Source organism: Homo sapiens, chromosome 11, assembly GCF_000001405.40.
Source record: "Homo sapiens chromosome 11, GRCh38.p14 Primary Assembly".
Classification (NCBI taxonomy): domain Eukaryota; kingdom Metazoa; phylum Chordata; class Mammalia; order Primates; family Hominidae; genus Homo; species Homo sapiens.
In genome coordinates this window covers 99,832,033-99,849,436 of record NC_000011.10, presented here as the reverse complement: position 1 = coordinate 99,849,436, position 17,404 = coordinate 99,832,033, and the positions used below count along the sequence as shown (strand labels likewise).

Genomic DNA, 17,404 nt, shown 5'->3' with positions numbered 1-17,404 from the left:
GGTTAATAAGAGTACTCCTAGCATTAAGGGAGTGTCAGTATACTAATTATGCATATGTGTATATATATACTAATTATGCATATATATATATATGTTGAATCTGCAAAAAGCCATGTGACTTTAATGATACTAAAAATCAAAGTTTTCTTTGAAAATATGTAATTTTCATGCAAAAGAAAGAAAACTTCGATGATATATCTTTACATTTTATTATATTTAATATTTATCTTATCACAATAAATATGTATAATAATTGTTAGTATATGGATAATTTGATATTATGTTAGTATATGGATAACTTAATTCTTCAATTAAGTATATACCTATTATAAAATACAAATTAGTACCTTTTTTATGAATATAATTAGGAGAGCCCCATCCTACGTTTATTAAACACTGTTCAACAAGTTATAGAATCACACAATTTCAAGCAAAGTTGTCAAATTTTAAAAGGCAAAAAGTAAAAGGTGAAGATTTAGAAAGTATCATTGATATAACAATAATAATGGTTAATCACCAAAGTGAACTGGTCTGTTAAACAGATCTCGAATTTGAAAGAGGCAATCAAAACTCATTTGGTTGGTACCTCAAAAATAGACTTTGAATTGGGTAATACAGTCCTCCTTCATGTTTGACTTTAGAAGATCCTGATAGCACTAGCCCAGCATAAAAATAATCTAAAAAGGTATTTTACAACATATGATAAAATTAAAGTGTAAAAGGTAAAAATAAGTATTCAATAAAACTATTATAAACTGAGTAACATATGCAAATATGCCTCAAGAATAGCTACAAAGTGGAATTATAAGTACTGTATCAGTGAAAAGTTTTGCAATCATTTTGACGATTTATAAATTTAGTCTGATTTTAAAACATTTAATAAATTTAAGACTCATATTCAATATTTAATAAATGTTTAACAAAATTGGATTAAATATGCTTTAATCATTATCTCAGTCGATTAAATATATTAATTTTGAAATATTAGTTGTATAATGAATATTTATATTTTTAGATAAATAAAGCCTGGTAGATATAAAATATTTTAGCTTTAAAATGTGACAAAAGTAATAAGCATTCCTCCACAAAAATCCTTTCAGACATTAAACACTCCAGCAACAGTGAGTATATTCTATTAAATATATTGACCTACAAGCCTGGTCTTCAGAAAATCTCAATGTAAAGGAAAGTTGCCAACCGAATTTTTTGTTTGTTTTGTTTTGTTTTGAGAAGGAGTCTCGCTTTGTCGCCCAGGCTGGAGTGCAGTGGTGTGATCTCGGCTCACTGCAAGCTCCGCCTCCCGGGTTCAAGCGATCTCCTGCCTCAGTCTCCCTAGTAGCTGGGACTACAGGCATGTGCCACCAGGCCCGGCTAATTTTTTGTATTTTTAGTAGAGATGGGTTTCACCGTGTTCGCCAGGATGGTCTCGAACTCCTGAACTCGTGATCCGCCCGCCTCGGCTGCCCAAAATGCTGGGGTTATGGGCGTGAGCCACCGCGCCCAGCCTGCGGACTAATTTTTCAAGTTTCACCTTGCCTTTGTGTTCTTTCACTTCATTTCAGGAACCCCTTTTCTTTTTTCTCCCCAACTTCCTACCTCAGTTTCTCTCCCTAATCTTTGAACGATTCTGAGTCCCCGAATCCTATAGCACCCAAACTCCCATCCAGGTATACTGGTAGGTTAATCAAATCTTCATCTTTTCTCCCTACTGCCCATATTTGCATTTATTTTCAAAGATAAACTGGAAAAATAGATGAAACTACATCTATGGGACTTCATTGTTTCAATATCATAGGAATAAGCATAATGGCATCTAGGTGGAGAAACAATTTTGAGGCAGAATTGGTCTTCCCTGGGTAACTGTCTGCTTTAACCAGGTACCTTGTGGGTTTTTATGCGTATGTAGCCAATGACCTGAGTTTGGTGGAAAGTAGAGAGGGGCAGAGTCATAAGGTGCTACCACTGAATACCTATGTAAGCCCATAATGCTTAAGTTAAAAATAAGCAGATATTGCTCTAAATCAAGTTGAAGACAGCTTCATGCTAAATAGGTAAGATACTTTAGATAAACAGTATTTCCCATGCCTGGTCATTGAATTGTAAACGCTGCTGCCAAAGTCATCACTTCAGATGAGTGTATTTGACAACTATGTTTGGTCTTTCCAGAAAACCTAGGACAGTCATATGGATATGTAAAATAAATAGCTTTCTGCTCTAAACGCATGCAGAAAAAAGTTGGCATGATTTGCTTCCACAAAGGGAAAAACAACTGACATACAGGCTATAGCTAACTGGTATACCTTGTATCAAATACTGTAGACCAAACTGTAAGGTATAAGCCACTAATATTTGTATAGCATATTTTCTTGATATTCTGCATCTATCTTGAAAAGACTATTGAATAAAGGAGCTATTATGAGGGTTATTTATTTAGTTTATTAGGCTACTTGATTAATTGTGCATAATGTAAAGTATTAGGTTCTGTGATACACCACATAATATTTTCCAAAATAAAAAAGAATCTATTTAGGCTGCTATCTTGGTGTCTTTGGCCTATGTAAATGTACCTATCTGAATTCCTTAGGCAAATCTACTTTAAAATATGATATTTACATTTTTCTAGGACCTATCTCGGTACTCTTCAAACTGTATTTATTATCAATTCTTTATTCTTTCCTTTTCTATTTCACACTTCTTTAATAGGGTGTCTGAATTCTGGGTTAATTAGAAATGATACCTGGGAAAGATTACATAGAGAAATATCAATTATTACATTCTTCCAGGTGTAACTTTAATTTAAAAATCATTTCATGATCTCTTATGTAGCCACTACAATTACACTTTAATTATTAATATAAAGATTCCTAGTCTTTCTCAGTATTTTTTAGAGATTCTATCCTCAAGAACTTAATTTCAAGTAGGATTACTTATTAAGGAATAATAATAAAAGGTTTTACCTATTAGCCTATTTTTAATTTATTGTAAGCTCTCATTATAAGTAAAATAATTTCAAGAGTTTTTAAGAACATATTTAGTTAATTATATATACACACTTCTTTTTTTTTTTTTTTTTTTTTTTGAGACAGATCCTCACTCTGTCGCCCAGGCTGGAGTGTGGTGGCGCAATCTCGGCTCACTACAACCTCCACCTCCCAGGTTCAAGCAATTCTCCTGCCTCAGCCTCCCAGGTAGCTGTGTCTACAGGCACCTGCTGCCTCACCTGGCTAATTTTCATTTAATCAGGTGTATTATCTACTTTAGAAATGTTTATATTCGTGTGTGTGTGTGTGTGTGTGTGTGTGTGTGTCTATGTCCGTATAGCCACATACAATATCTTTTTTGCAATACGAAAACTGGGACATCTAGGAGATATAGTCAAAATCTAAAATATTAGCATTTCAGAGGTATTTTTTGTTACCTGGCTATAAGCAGAAGTTTTAGAATATGCTATCTTATATTCTTAGAAATCCATAGCAAATGGTGACTATAGTAGTTAGTAGAATTATAGATATCTTAAAAAGGAGATGGAGAGAATCCGATTTCAAAAGAAATTTGGATTATCATTTTTTTTTCTCATAGGAAGCTTAATTTGAACTCAAAGACTTGAAAATAACACATAAAAAGTGGTGGGTTTCAAAATAGACTGTTATGAATTCTAAAACTTTATCTACTTTCATGAAAAGGACTTCAACCTGTCAGGCTAGTTTATCAAGTTTATTTTGAGGACAGCAAATCTTTTAGAAAATTTCAAAATATCCCAAGAAGGGCCGGGCGCGGTGGCTCACGCCTGTAATCCCAGCACTTTGGGAGGCCGAGGCGGGCGGATCACGAGGTCAGGAGATCGACACCATCCCGGCTGAAACGGTGAAACCCCGTCTCTACTAAAAATACAAAAAATTAGCCGGGCGTAGTGGCGGGCGCCTGTAGTCCCAGCTACTTGGGAGGCTGAGGCAGGAGAATGGCGTGAACCCGGGAGGCGGAGCTTGCAGTGAGCCGAGATCCCGCCACTGCACTCCAGCCTGGGCGACAGAGCGAGACTCCGCCTCAAAAAAAAAAAAAAAAAAAAAAAAGATTTGAGATCTTAGGCTTTTCTTTCCTGAACTAAATTTTAAAAATCCATACTGTATATACACACTATATACATATATATAGAAAAATCATATATTTTACTCACAGGCAAACTGCAGTGTAGCTTCTCTACTAAGAATACTCCCCACAGTGTTGGTTGCTAAACACTGATAATGACCAGAATCCTTTGCTTCACTTGGATTGCTTATAATGAAGGTGCCATCTATCAAACTGTAGCGATAATCACTTTCCAGATCTATTTCTGTTCCATTTCGAAGCCATCTTAGGAAAAAATCAGAAGACAAATATGTATAATCCTCCCTGAGAGTGTCAGAATATCATTGATGGAAAGTTTTTAAGGCTTAAGAAAAATGATTAACAGTGAATTCCTACCTGTAACTGGGAACTGGATTGCCACGAACTTCACAATTCAATGCTACCTTCTTTTCATCAGAATCAGTTGGAAAAATAATATCATCTGGTTCTTGCACAAAAACTGGCCCATAGTCCACACTTTCTGTAAAGACAAAACAGACACATTTTAAATTTCCTTAAACTAGCAAGATATTTTGTGTTTTTTTCTTTTCCATCTTACTTATATTCAAAATTCTTGCTCTTTTCTTGTAATCAACAGGTAAATTCCCAAAAGAAGGAATAGCTAGAAAACTGCATTGTTTTATTAAATTGTAAAGAACCAAATATAATTTTTAATCAACTAAAAATGCTGTTAAACGTGTAATACATAAAAAACAAACCTCAGACATTTATATTTTAAATATATATCTTTGTTTTCATTTTTCAAAATCAGACTGAAGGATAATAATATTAAGCATAAACAATATCTTAAAAAACCTGAAAGTTTGTAAAATTCTTAGAATGTTAAAAATAATACACACGCAAAAGTAATATATTAATATTGTGTCACTACTTAGGTGCTACAGGTATGAAAATATTAGTCCTCTTGCATTTTTTTATATTCTTCATTAATTCACTGAAGCACTACATTTAGTGCTAACAATTCTGGGGTGTAAAAAAATGATGTAACATGCATAAAGGTATTTTCATGGAATAAATAAGACATGCTTTCAAAAAAAGACAACTTAATTAAAATGGCAAAACTTTATACAACTAAATAGTCAATAAGATCAGAAGACAAAAGGCATAAAAGGAAGTGGAGGCCAGTGGGAAGAGCACATAAATTTATTGCCTACTATATACCAGACACTCGATTCTATTTTAGTTAGCTAATACTCAGAGAAATTCTGTGTGTGATAAAAGTAATTTGAAGCTAATGAAAATTTCATGAAGAAAGTGAAACTAAAAATGGACTTCAAATGTCAACTTGGACTTGAGTTTTAGACCAAGTCAGCTGGAGAAATGATGAGCAAATGTACAGAGGATAATACAAGTTATGTCAGCCCACAGTTACGTAAGCATTCAGAGCATCGTGTGCGTATCTAAGATCTATAGCATAGTGAATTGTGAATTTGTGAAAAAGTAAAGCTTTTTTTGCTTAATTTTCATTGATCATGAATTTGATCACATAATAGCCCTAGATCAGGTTTCTCAGTCTCTGTACCATTGATGTTTTGGGACAGATCTTTCTGTTGAGGCGGGGCTGTCCTGTGCATTGTAGAATGGTTAGCAGCATCCGTGGCCTCTACCCACTAGATTCCAGTAGCATCTCTCTCCAATGTGTAATAATAAAAAAGGTATCCAGACATTGTTATATGTGCTCTAGGATCAAAATGACCCTTGTTAAAAACTACTGCTACAGATAAAGAGAAATTATTTCAGTAAAGACATAGTTCCAATATATGTATTAAACAGAAGTTTATATCTTTTGCAGATAATCACAAGAAAATATTCAGAAAAAAAGTATAAAAATAAATGTTCCAGGAAATTTGAGCTAAAAAAAAATTCTGGGAAAAGATGTACACCTTATATTTAGAAGAACAAATTTGGAGTAAAATGATTTGCTTTCTTTAAATATATTTCTTTAAATATTTTGTCTTGGCGAAGTAAAACAAAAGTTTTCACAGTATTCTAAACCAAATAAAAATTGAGCAGTCACTATGAGCATGTACTGACGAGTATTTTCTTTGAATCCTAGATAACCTAGATGCAAGTTTTTTGTTTGTTTGTTTTTGAGAGAGTCTCACTCCCACTCTGTCTAGAGAGCAGTGGCACGATCTTGGCTCACTGCAACCTCTGCCTCCTAGGTTCAAGCAATTATCCTGCCACAGCCACCTGAGTAGCTGCAATTACAGCCACCATGCCTAGCTAATTTTTGTATTTTTAGTAGAGACAGGTTTTTGCCATGTTGGCCAGGCTGGTCTCACACTCCTAACCTCAAGTAATCCGCCCGCCTAGGCCTCCCAAAGTGCTGGGAATGCAGAAGTGAACCACCTCGACTGGCCTAGCTGCACTTTTTTTGAGCTACGAGCAAAATACTACACCAAAATAACCAGAATATGTCTCACTGTACCAAATTATATTGCTGTCAATTAAAACTTTTATTCAATAAGGAAAAGAAAAATAAATGATTTAATAAATAACTAGAGAAAATTGTCAAAATTTTGTATTTGTTGTTGCATTATGAGTTTATAAAAAATTGGAAAACTTCTATAAATTTTTATAAATCACAACTTTTATAAATCAAATTTTAAGAATTAACTTGCAGAATTACGCTGTGGGAAAAAAAACCCTTTCTGATCTTTACACATTAAAACTATGACTTAAACATTAAAAATAGCTATGCTGCATAAAATTCACATATAATAAGTGTTATAGACAACTCCTGAGCTTTAGAGTTGGACACATGTAAGTTCAAATTCTAGTAGTAGTATTTTTTAGCCATGAACCAAACATCTTTGATTATCTGCTACTCAAGTATTATTTGTGGATAATAATGCCTACTTTACAGTATTAGTAGGAATATCAGTTGTTATTAACATTTGCAAATACCTTGTATATTGCAAGCACTGAATAAATTGTGATTAATAACTAATATTTACTTGTAGTATAATTACTATATGCCAGACATTATGCTGAATACTTCTCATGCATAATATCACGAAACACTCACAATCACCATTGGCAATAATCAGTCCTTTTATCTTAGAGATGACAAAACTGAGACAGAAAACAATTAGCTAAATCTAGAAAGGAAATACCCGGGTGTGGTGGCTTACACCTGTACTTTCACCACTTTGGGAGGCTGAGGTGGGTGCATCATCTGAGGTCAGTAGTTTGAGAGAAGCCTGGCCAACACGGTGAAACCCTATCTGTACTAAACATACAAAATTAGCTGGGCGTGGTGGTGCGTGGGGTGCATGCCTGTAATTCCAGCTACTTCAGAGGCTGAGGCAGGAGAATCGCTTGAACAATGGAGGTGGAAGTTGCAGCGAGCTGAGATCGCTCCACTGCACTCCTGTCTGGGCAACAAGAGTGAAACTCCATAAAAAAAAAATATATATATATGTATATGTATGTGTATATATGTGTGTATATATATGTGTGTGTGTGTGTGTATATATATATACACACATATATACACACACACCACATATATATATATATATATAAATGTCAAACCTGGAATATAAATCTAAGGCTATTGAATTCTTGAAACTGCTTACTACTACCATGACTATTATTTCTTCTTATTTTTCATTCTTGTCATTCTCTTCCTCCTTCTTCATTCTCCTTCTCCTTCATTCTCCTCCTCCTCTTCTGCTGATGCTGCTTCTGCTGCTTCTGCTGCTTCTTTTCCTCCTCCTCCCCTTTTTCTCACTCTTATTATACTTATGTGCTAACATTTATAAAGCATGATTTTATATATGTATATATATTATCTAATTATCTCAGCTCAGTATCATAGTCATTTCTAATTGCAAGCTGAAAACTCCAAGCTTCTTAGAGGAGACTCCTGCAAAGTTAGCCGTATAAGAAGACAGTTGATTTTAAGATTCTCTGGTTCCAAATTTTATGTTCTGAAAATTGTGAAAACAGGACAAGAGAAATAAAATATGGTCCGGCTGGGGAAAACTAGAGAAGTAAGATTTGGTAAATTATAGGCTAAATAATAAGGGACTAATCTGAACATATATTTTATTATTACTGCCCATACTTTGTGAGACATCTCTTTGCTGTTCATTGTTAGTTCCCAAAGCATCTTAGCCCTATTCAGTGACTCCATCATTTATTTTGTTGCTGTTAAGCCAGTGCGTCAACATAAATGACAGTAAATAGAAATGTGAAAAAGAAAGTATTTCAAATGCCAAGTTAAACAGTGGCTCCCTTCCCTTCCTTTTTTCATCTTAGAAGTAAAATTCATGTTAAGGGGGGGAAAAGAAACATGTCTACGTACAGCTTCCCAGTCCCCAGCAAAGATAATCAGTGATGTTTCTACTGTAAAGAGATTATAGATATACTGAGATACATTTTTTATTCATTCTGCTGTAGCAGTGAATTTTATCTTCTGGTCATAATGATCCACTGTTTAAATCCATATACTTACATTCTGCACTCTTTTGCTTGATGGAATCTATAACTTGTTGGAGATAACACTTCAAATGCTGTATAATAGCAAATTATCACAAAGATCTTGATAGCCAATTAATTAAACTCTTCAACCAAGTAGAAGCCTTCGACACATTTGTGTAATGGGCAGATGTCATCACACACAATGTTAACGTCTCATAAAAGCAATGGTTTTCTGTGTTTTTTTCCTCTATCAGATCTCTTATTAACAAACTGCTAGGTATCTGTAGTTGGCTGAACATACAACGTCAGTGGTTATTGTCTGTGAAATGCCAGGGTCATACTCAAGAGGCTTTTTTTTTTCTTAGAAAAGAATTGTTTCAATTTGGAAATAATCTGTTTATTCTCTGCTACGAAGAATGATGGACTTCTCAAGTATACTTCTTAAATTTTCTCAATTGTTTGATAAGCATATTTTACAAAGTTTCTTATTCATAGTTCTTATTATGAGACTAGATACTTATGTATCTTCCCATGGTTTTTCCATTTCTAAGTTCCTTATTTTTTACCAAAAACAAGCTCTTGTATGCTGTATTCCTTTTTGCATAGTTAAGATGTATGTATTCTTTCTTTATCATTAAGAGACAACTTGGCAGGTATCAAATTACACGTTCACTACTAATTTAACTAATGATTTTGCGTGTATTTTTCCACCCTCTGGTAACAATGGACATTACCATGGTGAAGTAGTCTGACTCCGGCCTAACTGTCATCATTTTTAAGTGACCAGATTTTATGCATGGACACCCACAGGATTCTTTACTCACCCGTGAATATCAATAATTTTGAGGGATATGTCTTGGTGTAGTCATCTTGTACGATTTTTTTTTCTGTGACTCAGTTGGCCTTTTTAACTTTCAGTCTTATGACTTTCTTTTTCAGGAAAATTTATTTCTCATTTGCTCTATTCCCCTCATACCAGTTAGGCATACCTTGTTTTTCTTTAAAAAGAAAAAAAGTTCTCTCCATAAACTGTGTAATGGTTTATCTTCTTTTTTGTTTGACTTTGTTGAGTTTGGTTGCTGTATTACTATCTAATTAGGTGCAAATATATTACTACTACTAAGAGTTTCAACTCTTTAATCATTTTTTCTCTCTTCCATTTGTTTCCCGAGCTCCAAAACTTACATATCATATTCTATTATCTTATATCTACTTTGGTTTCTTATATTGCTTCTTTTAACTGTTCTTAGTAATGTGATTATCAGTAATATCTAAATGCATAGATGTTATATGTCTGTATTAACCCTATTTCCTTTTTAAGGACATCTGCGTGGTTCACAGGGAAAATCCTTAGGTTAGGAGTTTGACTATAATCTGACGGTTTCTCAATCTCTTGCCTCCTTCCCTCTGCCTCAACTTCAATGGTCCTCCCATACAAAAACTTAGATTGAAAAAAATATATATATATAAAACGCTTGTCATAGTAGTTCTTATTTCACTGCCTCCTTCGATATGTTCTGAAGTATCCTGAGTCATTTGTCCACTTTCACACAGACTTCACCCGATTATTTTACCTTTATTAATGAACAATTGAGTACACATTTCTTTTAAGGGCTGGTGACTTACCATTAGGTAAACTGATATTTGTCTTGAAGTCTGACGACAAAGGCAATTGTCGGATATTTCTTTCCTCATTATTTTCAAGCCTTTTTTCCTTGTTTCAATGAAAGTAACCTTTTCATGCCTCCTTTTTAATCTTGTTTGTTTTAATTGTATTTCAAAATAATGATATAAAGTAAACATGCCTTTTATATCATCTTTAGACCAATTAACTTGTGAAGAATTTTTCCAAACCTACTTGTGAAGAATTTTTCCAAACCTACTTGGGTTAGTTTAAAAGATATGTCCACAACTTTTTTGATAACCCTCCCTTCAAGGAGTTGAGCTTAATTTCTTTCCCCGTGAGTGTCAGCTTGACTTAATGACTTATTTCTAGCTAAAAGCAAAAGGCATACTATATTACTTCTAATACTAAGTAATGCAACTTCCTTCTGGGGTACACTTTCCTCGTGGGTCACTCCCTCAAGAAGAAGACCATTGCATATCCAAAGGAAATTTTTTCAGGCTGTGGAGAGGCCGACATGGTAAGGAACTGAAATACCTGGCTTGGCCAAAAGGCAGCAAGAAACTGAGGCCTAACAACAATCACATAGGTGAATTGTTAAGTGGATCCTCCCTTTGTAAAGTTTTCAAATGAGAATGGAGCTATAACTGACAGCATGACTGCAGCCTCATGAAAGACCTAGAGCCAGAACCTCCCAGCTAAGGTACTCAGATTTCAGACTTGAAGAGAAAATGCTTGATTGTTGTTTTAAATTGCTAAGTTTTGAGGATTTTTTAAATATAGGAATAGGTAACTAATAAACCATTTTTCCTCTCCCTATATTAATTGTGAGAAAATTATTTTAAAAATAAAAGATGAAAAAACAAAAAATAAGAGATAGAAGTATCATTTACAAAGAGTGATACTGGAGAAAATAAAAATACTTGATAGATGTTTGATTTTTATGCTATCATAGGGCCATAAGCTTTCAGAACTGGAAGAAGAACGATTCATTTCAGGCATCATTTCCAAAAATATCTGTGGGATCTATATCCAGTCTTAGCTTGGTTACATCCAGTAATACATGAGGTCATAACAGATTATTGTCTGAAGATAAAGTTCATCTTAAAATTAAAACCGTAAATTTGTATCCTAGATGAGGACAGTTTTTTACCCAATTCTACTCCATAATAGACATACTTTACTCAAGATTTTCTGGTAGTTACATTTACCTGCATGTTAATATAACTATTTAACTTATAGAAATTGACATATTTTCTGTATTTTATAAACTTCATATTTTAAGATTAAAATTTGAAGTTTCTACTAAGGATACCCTAAGTCCCTCTAATAAAATATTATGAAAAATGAGAAATTAACAAAAATGAAGTTTTTTTACTTTTAGCTTTTACTAAAACAAAGCTGTTTCTATATAACCCATAGAACTGACCTTAAATAATTTTAATCATAATCACTCAATAAAGTATTTCCTAAGAGCCCACTTTATTCTTGATGTTAAAATTATATTAGTGTAATTTTAATGTCATCATTATCACATGTGATATTTGATAGGTTTTTTTTTTTTTTTTTTTTACTCATGTGTGGCAAGTACTGGCTAGATGCTCCCTAATCCCATTTCCTTTTCCTAGGAACACTGGGACACTTTCTTGGCCTTTTTTAGGTTTGACATGGGGCCATGTGACTTAGTTCTAGACTGAAATGTATGTAAAATACAGGACTAGATACAAAAAAAAGTCATGCACAATCTTTTATCCTCTCCTATTTGTCAGTTTTCTAAAGGTAAAGGAGCAGAAGATGCCAGTAAGGCTTTAAAAGATATCAAAGATATTAGATCAACTGAAAGTGGTTCCAAAACTTTCTGTATGGAGAGCACTTCATTCAACAACTAAGCAGAATGTGATGTGAATACAAAAGAAACATGTTAATGTGTTAAGAAGTAATTTGTTATAGTGTCCAGAGTTTCTGATGTTGGCTAATATTACATTAAAATAAAATCATTTTAAACTATTAAAGAAGATGTAATTTCATTAAGAAACAAAGTTCATTGAACTGTATATCATCATCAGAAACATTTGAAACAGAGCAACTCCATCGTGAACAGAGGCTGGGAAAAATGAGACTGAGACCTACTGAGCTGCATTCCCAGATGGTTAAGACATTCTCAGTCACAAATAAGACAGGAGGTAAGCACAAGATACAAGTCATAAAGACCTTGCTGATAAAACAGGCTAAAGTAAAGCAGCCAGCCAAAATCCACCAAAACAAAAACAGCCATGAGAGTGACCTCTGGTCATCTTCACTGCTACACTCCCACCAGCACCATGACATTTTACAAATTCCATGGCAAAGTCAGGAATTTACCCTATATGGTCTAAAAAGGAGAGTCATGAACCACAATGTGATACCATCTCACACCAGTTAGAATGGCAATCATTAAAAAGTCAGGAAACAACAGGTGCTGGAGAGGATGTGGAGAAATAGGAATGCTTTTACACTGTTGGTGAGACTGTAAACTAGTTCAACCATTGTGGAAGACAGTGTGGCGATTCCTCAAGGATCTAGAACTAGAAATACCATTTGACCCAGCCATCCCATTACTGGGTATATACCCAAAGGATTATAAATCATGCTGCTATAAAGACACATGCACACGTATGTTTACTGTGGCACTATTCACAATAGCAAAGACTTGGAACCAACCCAAATGTCCATCAATGATAGACTGGATTAAGAAAATGTGGCACATATACACCATGGAATACTGTGCAGCCATAAAAAAGGATGAGTTTATGTCCTTTGTAGGGACATGGATGAAGCTGGAAACCATCATTCTCAGCAAACTATCGCAAGGACAAAAAACCAAACACCGCATGTTCTCACTCATAGGTAGGAATTGAACAATGAGAACACTTCGACACAGGGTGGGGAACATCACACACCAGGGCCTGTCGGGGGTTGGGGGAGGGGGGAGGGATAGCATTAGGAGATATACCTAATGTAAGTGACGAGTTAATGGGTGCAGCACACCAACATGGCACATGTATACATATGTAACAAACCTGCACGTTGCGCACATGTACCCTAGAACTTAAAGTATAATTAAAAAAAAAGAAAAATTAAAAAAAAAAAAAACAAGGGGAGGCATGAACAAACCACCCCTTGTTTAGCATATAATCAAGGAATAACCATTAAAATGGGTAACCAGCAGCCCTTTGGACTGTCTATGGAGTAGCCATTCTTTTATTTCTTTACTTTCTTAATAAACTTGCTTTCACTTTACGGACTTGCCCTAAATTCTTTCTTGCATAAGATCCAACAACCCTCTCTTGGGGTCTGTATCCGGACCTCTTTCCTATAACAATATTACATAGTCTTGCTGATAAACCATCTTCTCTAGTTCAGACCACTTGATTGCTTACTACTTAGCTAGCATGTATTTCCAGGCCTAGGGCCTATGACAGGAGGTATTTAACCAGTCAACCATGTATTTAGCTTGACCAGTTATAGTGCTCCAGTTTTTTAAATTAGCTTTCTACTTAATTCTTGAGCTCCAAGCCTTCTTCACATGGCCATATTCTGAAAATGGGTTTTCATCCATATGTTTCCATTCCTAAATCCTATGTTAACCCTTCTAGAAGGCCCAGTGCTATTACGTACACATTTATGTTGTATGGGTGCTGCTGTGGTTCTTGTTTTGGATTTTAAAGTGACTGACATTCACTATAGACTCATGTAATTAAGAGTCTGACATTATGTCAGCTCTTTGACTGCTGACAGCTTTCAAGCCACATTATTTGCCTTTTCCCTATTGCCTCACCTCTGGGCAAGGTCAGAAGTTGGGCACCTCCTGCCCTGACTCCAGTGGAGAAGTTTACACCACACAAACCCTGGCCCACATAGGAACCCTCATCCCAACCCTACCTCACAACCACAGTTAAAAATCCAAGTCATTCATTCCTTTTTTCACTCAGGCTGTTTTCATACCAATGTGTCTTCTCAGAAAGCCTCATGTTACGAAGAATAAATCTCTTCATACCCTTTTTGAACATATGCGTCATCATCAGTTTCTGCATCTGAACCAATTTTAGGTAGTGATGGTACTGATCTTACCCGCCACAGGGCAACCACGTACAGCAAAGTAGGACTCAATAATCTGGGTAAAGGACAGAGTCTCCTTGGAGGGGAACATAAACTTTTTGAAAGGAGTTTGCATCATGGAAGCAATAGGTCTTCAAACAGTTAACTGAAACATGGAAGGTAGACATATAAGAAGGGAAACTCCTGAATTACTCTGGATAGCTTTCTCTCAGCTTTACATTAGGAAAACAAGGTATCAAATAAATGGCTAGGGCAAGATGGTCTTGACTGTGGAGGCAGTCATCTAGAGTAGCATAAATCAGAGATGTTTAAACTAAACTTGTAAATTATAAAATCATATATATGTATTCCTGTTTTTCCCTTACTCTTTTGTTATCCCTGAGCCTTAGTAGTAACCCCATCTATCTTAGTCTCAGCAAGTTGAGAAAAACAATATGGAATGGAGAAAAAGTACCTTACATCCATCTAGCAGTTCTCAAAGTTTTTAAATCATAACTATTTTATGCTCTTCCTTTGTGATTGTCAAATGAAATTAATGAATATTCTAACTACCTACGGGTAATTCTTTTAAAAATGATTTTAAAAGGACAAATAAAAGTGCAATCGTTTGCTGTAAAATTGTGGTTTGGTCTTTTCTTTTCTTGAAACAAGGTCTTGCTCCGTCATCCAGGCTGGCACAATCATGGCTCACTGCAGCCGCAACCTCCTGGGCTAAACCAATCTTTCTACCTTAGCCTCCCAAAGTGCTGCAATTACAGGCATAAGCCACTGTGCCCAGCCTAAAACAATATTTAATTCAATAAATTTTCAATATGTAAGTTTTCAGAATTATAATAGACAACATAAAGAAGCAATCAAGAGTTTTTGTTCATAAAAATCCCCGTGAATGCAGCATCTACAAACGCAAACTAATCCAGGTGTCTACAATTGGTGACCCAAGTGTCATGAGAGGCACCAGTGTTAGGTAGTAGGTATTCTAAATGGACAACAACCTCTGGTTAAGTTCTGAACAAAACTAAGTGTAATCTTGCAATTCATACAGTGTTTGCATTAAAATATCCACTATATTTAAAAATACCACATAGGTAATGAAATATCCAGTCAGATTATTTTACCAGATAACTATGAAGAGAATTTTCACTCACAAAAATGCCTGTCAGGACACTTAAGAGTCCTGTGCTTTGCAATTATAGGACATTTGGAATTCCTGGTCTCTACTACCTAAATGAAAGTTACATCCTTGAATAACTGAGACTACCCCCACAAATGTCTGAAACACGAAGAAGGAAGCGACACAGCAACTGGGAATCACTGAGCTAGAGCAAGAAACAGGAGACAATGGCTGCCTAAAGTTAGCCTGGTGTTGGCAAGAGTCTTCTACAAGAGGGTCTTGAACAGGATGATCAAGTTCTATTATAAATTATGACTCTGGAAGCCCCATCTACCTATCTCCAAGTGGAGTTTCTAGGAGCAGTAGTACAGATGCTCTTCAGTTTACAATAAGATTGCACCTCAACAAACGTATTCCTAAATTTAAAATATTATAATTCAAAAATGCATTTAATTCAACTAATATACTGAACATCAGAGTTTATCCTAGCCTACTTTAAAGTTGTTCAGAACACTCACATTAGTCTCCAGTTAAGCAAAGTCATCTAACACAAAGATTATTTTATAATATAGTTTTATCATCTCATGTAATTTACTGAACACTCTACTGAAAGTAAGAAACAGATTGGTTGTATGGGTTCTCAGAGTATGGTTTCTACTGAATGCATATCACTTTCACACCATCATAAAGTTAAAAAATTCTAAATCAAACTACCTTAAATTAGGGATTGTCTGTATATTATCTTGTTATGGAGACAATAGTTTCCTTTATAGAGTCCTGTCCTAGGATCAAGTTAGTGTCCGGTCCTCTCTAGCTCCTTCTGAAACTTCTGCCACTTACTGATAGGCTACCCAGATACTAACTTTATAACTTCCTTCATATCAAGACATTTTAAGTATCATCCATCTGAGACTCCTGCAGCCAGGTTCTCAGAAAGGATTGCTTTTTGGTTTTGGATCACTGTTTCGATTGTTTTATTGGATCATGACCCAACATTATCATGTCTCCCTCAATTCTAAATCTGCCTTTCAGGCTTAAATCCTCTTTTTAACATCAACTTCTGTGCTTATTTTTCTCAGGGATTACATCTACATCAACTTCTGTGCTTATTTTTCTCAGGGATTACATCTAATGCCAGGCTGCAACTGTTCTGCCTGCTGGTTAGCTGTAATTTATGTCTGTGACTAGCTTATTCATGTAATGTAAACTAAGTGTCTCAGTAATATAATATAAAGGAAATAGCAGCCTATCATGCCCAATAAAATTTTAAGAAATGCCATTTTAATGATCATTAGTATACTTTATGTGACAATTTCAAGAAATTTTGAAGTGTTAACTAGAAATTATATTTTATGATGACATAGTTACAAGGTGAGAAAAATTTTTGCACCAAGTATCTTAGATGAATTCTTAAAAAAATTGTCCAAATCTTCTTTTAACTTTAAGTTGCCTTTCAACATTGAAATGAAGTTTATGAAACTTAAACAAGTATAAACTATAAAACCTTCAAGGATTTCTAAGAATTGAAGAGAACGATTTATTAACAAGCATATTGATGAATGTTTCATGGGTAGTGTAGCATTTCGTTGTACACACAACATAAGTTAAAGTCTAATAGGTTTTTTGTCACTTTCGTACAGATATAAAAGAGAGGTCAGAGGATGCAGTAATATTATCACTTATGATAACAATCAAAGTGCACCAACTCCATGTGTTAGGTTGATGCCAATGTAATTACAGTTTTTGCCTCGTTGGGATTTGCCATTGGATATTGGAATGCATTGTTAAATGTGGTTATGTTATATATCATTTTAATGGGCATTTCTTGCTTTTTTGCTAATGACTTATTACTTGATTTTTTTTTAGACTATGGAAATGATGTTAGACAAAAAGCAAATTCAAGCAGTTTTCTTACTCGAGTCCAAAATGGGTCATAAAGCAGCGGAGACAACTCATAACATCAGCAACACATTTTGTGCAGTAACTGCTAATGAATGTACAGCACAGTGGTGGTT

At 34.8% G+C, this 17,404-nt stretch overlaps 1 protein-coding gene across 12 annotated transcripts in view; it reads right to left on the bottom strand.

Moving 5' to 3' along the window:
• CNTN5 (contactin 5) overlaps window positions 1-17,404 on the bottom strand; it is a 1,337,937-nt gene that overhangs the window by 509,449 nt on the left and 811,084 nt on the right. For all 12 annotated transcript variants that reach the window (XM_017017926.2, NM_014361.4, XM_011542871.2 and 9 more), the window contains 2 exons: window positions 4,462-4,585; window positions 4,175-4,350 (listed from right to left, as the gene is read on the bottom strand). In XM_017017926.2, coding sequence (XP_016873415.1) covers window positions 4,175-4,350; window positions 4,462-4,585 — 300 coding nt within the window. The remainder of the gene's footprint in view (window positions 1-4,174; window positions 4,351-4,461; window positions 4,586-17,404) is intronic.